This window comes from Homo sapiens, chromosome 1 (assembly GCF_000001405.40).
Source record: "Homo sapiens chromosome 1, GRCh38.p14 Primary Assembly".
In the NCBI taxonomy this organism is placed as follows: Eukaryota; Metazoa; Chordata; class Mammalia; order Primates; family Hominidae; genus Homo; species Homo sapiens.
Window position 1 is genome coordinate 188,749,890 of NC_000001.11, and position 8,704 is coordinate 188,758,593.

Sequence of the window (8,704 nt, forward strand, 5' to 3'; positions counted from 1 at the left end):
GGCCACCAACTTAATAAAGGATTCTTAATTTGTCTCAAAGTATGGCATTTCTCTAACTCGCTTGGGTACAACAAGAGCATTGAGTAGTAAAAATATATATAGAACTTCAGGCCTGCAGGTGCATGGAAAGCAAGAGTTTAGGTTTGGGGGCTTCCACCTAGATTTCTGAGAATGTATAGAAACACCTGGATGTCTAGGCAGAAGTCTGCTGTAGGGGCGGAGCTCTCATGGAGAACCTATCCTAGGGCAGTGAAGAATGGAAATGTAGAGTTGGAGCTCCCACATAGAGTCCCCACTGGGGCACTGCCTAGTGGAGCTATGAGAAGAAGGCTATCATCCTCAAGACTCCAGAATGGTAGATCCATCAACAGCTTGCACCATGCACCAGGAAAAGCCACAGACACGCAATGCCAACCCATGAAAACAGCTATGGGGGCTGTACACTGCAGTCACAGGGGCAGACCTGTCCAAGACCTTGGGTGGCCACCCCTTTCATCAGTGTGGCTTGGATATGAGACATGAAGTCAAAGGAAATTATTTTGGAGCTTTAGGATTTAACGACTGCTTCTCTGGGTTTCAGACATGTAAGGGGCTTGTAACCTCTCTGCTTTGGCTCATTCCTCCCTTTTGGAGTGTGAGCATTTACCCAATGCCTGTACCCTTATTGTATCTTGGAAGTAACTAACTTGTTTTAATTTTATAGGCTCATAGGTGAAAGGGAATGTGTCTTGTCTCAGATGAAAATTTGGACTATGGACTTTTGAGTTAGTGCTGAGATGAGTTAAGACTTAGTGTACTGTTGAGAAAGGATGATTGTATTTTACAATATGAGAAGGACATGAGATTTGGAGGGGCCAGGGGCAGAATGATATGGTTTGGCTCCATGTCCCCACCCAAATATCATGTTGATTTGTGATCCTGAGTGTTGGAGGTGGAGTTTAGTGGAAGGGAGTAGTTTCTAATGGTTTAGTACCATCACGCTAGTGTTGTCTCATGAAAGAGTTCTCATAAGATCTGGTTAGATAAAAGTGTGTAGCACTTCCCCCTCCTCTCCCTTTTTCTACTGCTCTGGCCATGTGAAAACCATGCCTGCTTCCCCTTTGCCTTCCTCCATGATTGTAATTTTCCTAAGGCCTCCCCAGCCATGCCTCTTGTGTAGCCTGTGGAACTGAGTCAATTAAATCTTTTTTTTTTTTTTTTCATAAATTACCCAGTCTCAAGAAATGACTTTATAGTAGTGGGAGAATGGATTAATACATAAGGTGAGTACAGTACAATAATACATTTTGAGAGAAAGAAAGAGAGAAGGAAAGATCATATACACCTAACTGTTATTACAGTATATTTGAAGGGATGGGTTGCCCCTCCACACCTGTGGGCGTTTCTCGTCAGGTGGAACGAGAGACTTGGAAAAGAAAGAGACACAGAGACAAGACATAGAGAAACAAAAATGGGCCCAGGGGACCGGCACTCAGCATATGGAGGACCTGCGCCGGCACAGGCCTCTGAGTTTCCTTTTAGTACTTATTGATCATTATCAGGCATTTACCTGAGAGAGGGATGTGCCTGGAGAGAGGGATGTGGCAGGACAATAGGGTAATAGTGGAGAGAAGGTCAGCAGGAAAACATGTGAACAAATGTCTCTGCATCATAAACAAGGTAAAGAAAAAAGTGCTGTGCTTTTGATGTGCATATACATAAACATCTCAATGCCTTAAAGAGCAGTATTGCTGCCAGCATGTGCCACCTCCAGCCCTAAGGCGGTTTACCCCTATCTCAGTAGATGGAATATACAATCGGGCTTTACAGGGAGACATTCCATTGCCCAGGGATGAGGAGGAGACAGATGCCTTCCTCTTATCTCAACTGCAAAGAGGCCTCAGCACAGACCCTTTACGGGTGTGGGTGTCGGGCTGGGGAATGGTCAGGTCTTTCCCTTCCCACGAGGCCATATTTCAGACTATCACATGGGGAGAAACCTTGGACAATACCTGGCTTTCCTAGGCAGAGGTCCATGCAGCCATCCGCAGTGTACTGTCTCTCTGGGTACTTGAGATTAGGCAGTGGTGATGACTCTTAACAAGCATGCTGCCTTCAAGCATTTGTTTAACAAAGCACATCCTGCACAGCCCTTAATCCATTTAACCCTGAGTTGACACAGCACGTGTTTCAGGGAGCACAGGGTTGAGGGTAGGGTTACAGATTAACAGCATCTCAAGGCAGAAGAATTTTTCTTAGTACAGAACAAAATGGAGTCTCTTATGTCTACTTCTTTCTACACAGACACAGTAACAGTCTGATCTCTCTTTTCCCCACATATATTGTTTTTTATTTATTTATTTATTTATTTATTTATTTATTCTTATACTTTAAGTTTTAGGGTACATGTGCCCATTGTACAGGTTAGTTACATATGTATACATGTGCCATGCTGGTGCGCTGCACCCACTAACTCGTCATCTAGCATTAGGTATATCTCCCAATGCTATCCCTCCCCCCTCCCCCCACCCCACCACAGTCCCCAGAGTGTGATATTCCCCTTCCTGTGTCCATGTGATCTCATTGCTCAATTCCCACCTATGACTGAGAATATGTGGTGTTTGGTTTTCTGTTCTTGCGATAGTTTACTGAGAATGATTTCCAATTTCATCCATGTCCCTACAAAGGACATGAACTCATCATTTTTTATGGCTTCATAGTATTCCATGGTGTATATGTGCCACATTTTCTTAATCCAGTCTATCATTGTTGGACATTTGGGTTGGTTCCAAGTCTTTGCTATTGTGAATAATGCTGCAATAAACATACGTGTGCATGTGTCTTTATACCAGCATGATTTATAGTCCTTTCGGTAGATACCCAGTAATGGGATGGCTGGATCAAATGGTATTTCCAGTTCTAGATCCCTGAGGAATTGCCACACTGACTTCCACAATGGTTGAACTAGTTTACAGTCCCACCAACAGTGTAAAAGTGTTCCTGTTTCTCCACATCCTCTCCAGCACCTGTTGTTTCCTGACTTTTTAATGATTGCCATTCTAACTGGTGTGAGATGGTATCTCATTGTGGTTTTGATTTGCATTTCTCTGATGGCCAGTGATGATGAGCATTTTTTCATGTGTTTTTTGGCTGCATAAATGTTCTTCTTTTGAGAAGTGTCTGTTCATGTCCTTCGCCCACTTTTTGATGGGGTTGTTTGTTTTTTTTCTTGTAAATTTGTTTGAGTTCATTGTAGATTCTGGATATTAGCCCTTTGTCAGATGAGTAGCTTGCAAAAATTTTCTCCCATTTTGTAGGTTGCCTCTTCACTCTGATGGTAGTTTCTTTTGCTGTGCAGAAGCTCTTTAGTTTAATTAAATCCCATTTGTCAATTTTGGCTTTTGTTGCCATTGCTTTTGGTGTTTTAGACATGAAGTCCTTGCCCATGCCTATGTCCTGAATGGTAATGCCTAGGTTTTCTTCTAGGGTTTTTATGGTTTTAGGTCTAACGTTTCAGTCTTTAATCCATCTTGAATTGATTTTTGTATAAGGTGTAAGGAAGGGATCCAGTTTCAGCTTTCTACATATGGCTAGCCAGTTTTACCAGCACCATTTATTAAATAGGGAACCCTTTCCCCATTGCTTGTTTTTCTCAGGTTTGTCAAAGATCAGATAGTTGTAGATATGCGGCATTATTTCTGAGGTCTCTGCTCTGTTCCATTAATCTATATCTCTGTTTTGGTACCAGTACCATGCTGTTTTGGTTACTGTAGCCTTGTAGTATAGTTTGAAGTCAGGTAGTGTGATGCCTCCAGCTTTGTTCTTTTCGCTTAGGATTGACTTGGCAATGCGGGCTCTTTTTTGGTTCCACATGAACTTTAAAGTAGTTTTTTCCAATTCTGTGAAGAAAGGCATTAGTAGCTTGATGGGGATGGCATTGAATCTGTAAATTACCTTGGGCAGTATGGCCATTTTTATGATATTGATTCTTCCTACCCATGAGCATGGAATGTTCTTCCATTTGTTTGCATCCTCTTTTATTTAATAGAGCAGTGGTTTGTAGTTCTCCTTGAAGAGGTCCTTCACATCCCTTGTAAGTTGGATTCCTAGGTATTTTATTCTCTTTGAAGCAACTGTGAATGGGAGTTCACTCATGATTTGGCTCTCTGTTTGTCTGTTGTTGGTGTATAAGAATGCTTGTGATTTTTGTACATTGATTTTGCATCCTGAGACTTTGCTGAAGTTGCTTATCAGCTTAAGGAGATTTTGGGCTGAGACAATGGGGTTTTCTAGATATACAATCATGTCATCTGCAAACAGGGCCAATTTGACTTCCTCTTTTCCTAATTGAATACCCTTTATTTCCTTCTCCTGCCTAATTGCCCTGGCCAGAACTTCCAACACTATGTTGAATAGGAGTGGTGAGAGAGGGCATCCCTGTCTTGTGCCAGTTTTCAAAGGGAATGCTTCCAGTTTTTGCCCATTCAGTATGATATTGGCTGTGGGTTTGTCATAGATAGCTCTTATTATTTTGAAATACGTCCCATCAATACCTACTTTATTGAGAGTTTTTAGCATGAAGGGTTGTTGAATTTTGTCAAAGGCTTTTTCTGCATCTATTGAAATAATCATGTGGTTTTTGTCTTTGGCTCTGTTTATATGCTGGATTACATTTACTGATTTGCATATATTGAACCAGCCTTGCATCCCAGGGATGAAGCCCACTTGATCATGGTGGAGAAGATTTTTGATGTGCTGCTGGATTCGGTTTGCCAGTATTTTATTGAGGATTTTTGCATCAATGTTCATCAAGGATATTGGTCTAAAATTCTCTTTTTTGTTTGCGTCTCTGCCCGGCTTTGGTATCAGAATGATGCTGGGGTCATAAAATGAGTTAGGGAGGATTCCCTCTTTTTCTATTGATTGGAATAGTTTCAGAAGGAACGGTACCAGTTCCTCCTTGTACCTCGGGTAGAATTCGGCTGTGAATCCATCTGGTCCTGGACTCTTTTTGGTTGGTAAACTATTGATTATTGCCACAATTTCAGATCCTGTTATTGGTCTATTCAGAGATTCAACTTCTCCCTGGTTTAGTCTTGGGAGAGTGTATGTGTCGAGGAATTTATCCATTTCTTCTAGATTTTCTAGTTTATTTGTGTAGAGGTGTTTGTAGTATTCTCTGATGGTAGTTTGTATTTCTGTGGGATCGGTGGTGATATCCCCTTTATCATTTTTTATTGTGTCTATTTGATTCTTCTCTCTTTTTTTCTTTGAGGATTGCTAGCGTTCTATCAATTTTGTTGATCCTTTCAAAAAACCAGCTCCTGGATTCATTAATTTTTTGAAGGGTTTTTTGTGTCGCTATTTCCTTCAGTTCTGCTCTGATTTTAGTTTCTTGCCTTCTGCTAGCTTTTGAATGTGTTTGCTCTTGCTCTTCTAGTTCTTTTAATTGTGATGTTAGGGTGTCAATTTTGGATCTTTCCTGCTTTCTCTTGTGGGCATTTAGTGCTATAAATTTCCCTCTACACACTGCTTTGAATGTGTCCCAGAGATTCTGGTATGTTGTGTCTTTGTTCTCATTGGTTTCAAAGAACATCTTTATTTCTGCCTTCATTTCGTTATGTACCCAGTAGTCATTCAGGAGCAGGTTGTTCAGTTTCCATGTAGTTGAGCGGTTTTGAGTGAGATTCTTAATCCTGAGTTCTAGTTTGATTGCACTGTGGTCTGAGAGATAGTTTGTTATAATCTCTGTTCTTTTACTTTTGCTGAGGAGAGCTTTACTTCCAAGTATGTGGTCAATTTTGGAATAGGTGTGGTGTGGTGCTGAAAAAAATGTATATTCTGTTGATTTGGGGTGGAGAGTTCTGTAGATGTCTATTAGGTCCACTTGGTGCAGAGCTGAGTTCAATTCCTGGGTATCCTTGTTGACTTTCTGTCTCGTTGATCTGTCTAATGTTGACAGTGGGGCGTTAAAGTCTCCCATTATTAATGTGTGGGAGTCTAAGTCTCTTTGTAGGTCACTCAGGACTTGCTTTATGAATCTGGGTGCTCCTGTATTGGGTGCATATATATTCAGGATACTTAGCTCTTCTTGTTGAATTGATCCCTTTACCATTATGTAATGGCCTTCTTTGTCTCTTTTGAGCTTTGTTGGTTTAAAGTCTGTTTTATCAGAGACTAGGATTGCAACCCCTGCCTTTTTTTGTTTTCCATTTGCTTGGTAGATCTTCCTCCATCCTTTTATTTTGAGCCTATGTGTGTCTCTGCACGTGAGATGGGTTTCCTGAATACAGCACACTGATGGGTCTTGACTCTTTATCCAATTTGCCAGTCAGTGTCTTTTAATTGGAGCATTTAGTCCATTTACATTTAAAGTTAATATTGTTATGTGTGAATTTGATCCTGTCATTATGATGTTAGCTGGTTATTTTGCTCGTTAGTTGATGCAGTTTCTTCCTAGTCTCGATGGTCTTTACATTTTGGCATGATTTTGCAGTGGCTGGTACCGGTTGTTCCTTTCCATGTTTAGCACTTCCTTCAGGAGCTCTTTTAGGGCAGGCCTGGTGGTGACAAAATCTCTCAGCATTTGCTTGTCTGTAAAGTATTTTATTTCTCCTTCACTTATGAAGCTTAGTTTGGCTGGACATGAAATTCTGGGTTGAAAATTCTTTTCTTTAAGAATGTCGAATATTGGCCCCCACTCTCTTCTGGCTTGTAGGGTTTCTGCTGAGAGATCCGCTGTTAGTCTGATGGGCTTCCCTTTGAGGGTAACCCGACCTTTCTCTCTGGCTGCCCTTAACATTTTTTCCTTCATTTCAACTTTGGTGAATCTGACAATTATGTGTCTTGGAGTTGCTCTTCTCGAGGAGTATCTTTGTGGCATTCTCTGCATTTCCTGAATCTGAACGTTGGCCTGCCTTGCTAGATTGGGGAAGTTCTCCTGGATAATATCCTGCAGAGTGTTTTCCAACTTGGTTCCATTCTCCCCATCACTTTCAGGTACACCAATCAGACGTAGATTTGGTCTTTTCACATAGTCCCATATTTCTTGGAGGCTTTGCTCATTTCTTTGTATTCTTTTTTCTCTAAACTTCCCTTCTCGCTTCATTTCATTCATTTCATCTTCCATTGCTGATACCCTTTCTTCCAGTTGATCACATTGGCTCTTGAGGCTTCTGCATTCTTCACGTAGTTCTCGAGCCTTGGTTTTCAGCTCCATCAGCTCCTTTAAGCACTTCTCTGTATTGGTTATTCTAGTTATACATTCTTCTGAATTTTTTTCAAAGTTTTCAACTTCTTTGCCTTTGGTTTGAATGTCCTCCCATAGCTCAGAGTAATTTGATCATCTGAAGCCTTCTCTCAGCTCCTCAAAGACATTCTCCATCCAGCTTTGTTCCGTTGCTGGTGAGGAACTGCGTTCCTTTGGAGGAGGAGAGGCGCTCTGCTTTTTAGAGTTTCCAGTTTTTCTGCTCTGTTTTTTCCCCATCTTTGTGGTTTTATCTACTTTTGGTCTTTGATGATGGTGATGTACAGATGGGTTTTTGGTGTGGATGTCCTTTCTGTTTGTTAGTTTTCCTTCTAACAGACAGGACCCTCAGCTGCAGGTCTGTTGGAATACCCTGCCTTGTGAGGTGTCAGTGTGCCCCTGCTGGGGGGTGCCTCCCAGTTAGGCTGCTCGGGGGTCAGGGGTCAGGGACCCACTTGAGGAGGCAGTCTGCCCATTCTCAGATCTCCAGCTGAGTGCTGGGAGAACCACTGCTCTCTTCAAAGCTGTCAGACAGGGACATTTAAGTCTGCAGAGGTTACTGCTGTCTTTTTGTTTGTCTGTGCCCTGCCCCCAGAGGTGGAGCCTACAGAGGCAGGCAGGCCTCCTTGAGCTGTGGTGGGCTCCACCCAGTTGGAGGTTCCTGGCTGCTTTGTTTACCTAAGCAAGCCTGGGCAATGGCGGGCGCCCCTCCCCCAGCCTCGCTGCCGCCTTGCAGTTTGATCTCAGACTGCTGTGCTAGCAATCAGCGAGACTCCTTAGGCATAGGACCCTCCGAGCCAGGTGCGGGATATACTCTCGTGGTGCGCCGTTTTTTAAGCCGGTCGGAAAAGCGCAGTATTCTGGTGGGAGTGACCCGATTATCCAGGTGCGTCCGTCACCCCTTTCTTTGACTCCGAAAGGGAACTCCCTGACCCCTTGCGCTTCCCAAGTGAGGCAATGCCTCGCCCTGCTGTGGCTCGCGCACGGTGCGCGCACCCACTGACCTGCACCCACTGTCTGGCACTCCCTAGTGAGATGAACCCGGTACCTCAGATGGAAATGCAGAAATCACCCGTCTTCTGCGTCGCTCACGCTGGGAGCTGTAGACCGGAGCTGTTCCTATTCAGCCATCTTGCCTCCTCCACCCCACATATATTGTTATAATTGTTATTTTTGTATTACTGTTAAACTCTTACTCTGCTTAATTTATAAATTAAATTTTATTCTACATATGCATGTATAGTAAAAAACACAGCATATGCAGGGTTCAGTATCATCTGTGAATTTAGGCATCCCCTAGTGGTCTTAAAATCTATCCCCACAGATAAGGGTGTACTACTCTACTTAGGGAGAGTTAGAGTTAAACCACATGAAAATCTTTTCATGATACCTGTTTCATGATATCTTGAAATCTGTTTCATGATATCTTAAAGAATATCTACACTAAAACAAAGTACAAGTTATTGTACCTCTATGCCC

At 42.5% G+C, this 8,704-nt stretch overlaps 2 annotated features.

Moving 5' to 3' along the window:
• Positions 1,453-2,385: an enhancer, noted in NCBI's record as "OCT4-NANOG hESC enhancer chr1:188720473-188721405 (GRCh37/hg19 assembly coordinates)". NCBI's record gives its function as "activates a minimal SCP1, AML or CMV promoter by ChIP-STARR-seq in naive H9 embryonic stem cells {active_cell/tissue: H9 hESC(naive)}" and the evidence as "EXISTENCE:reporter gene assay evidence [ECO:0000049][PMID:30033119]".
• Positions 7,463-8,093: an enhancer, noted in NCBI's record as "NANOG-H3K27ac-H3K4me1 hESC enhancer chr1:188726483-188727113 (GRCh37/hg19 assembly coordinates)". NCBI's record gives its function as "activates a minimal SCP1, AML or CMV promoter by ChIP-STARR-seq in primed H9 embryonic stem cells {active_cell/tissue: H9 hESC(primed)}" and the evidence as "EXISTENCE:reporter gene assay evidence [ECO:0000049][PMID:30033119]".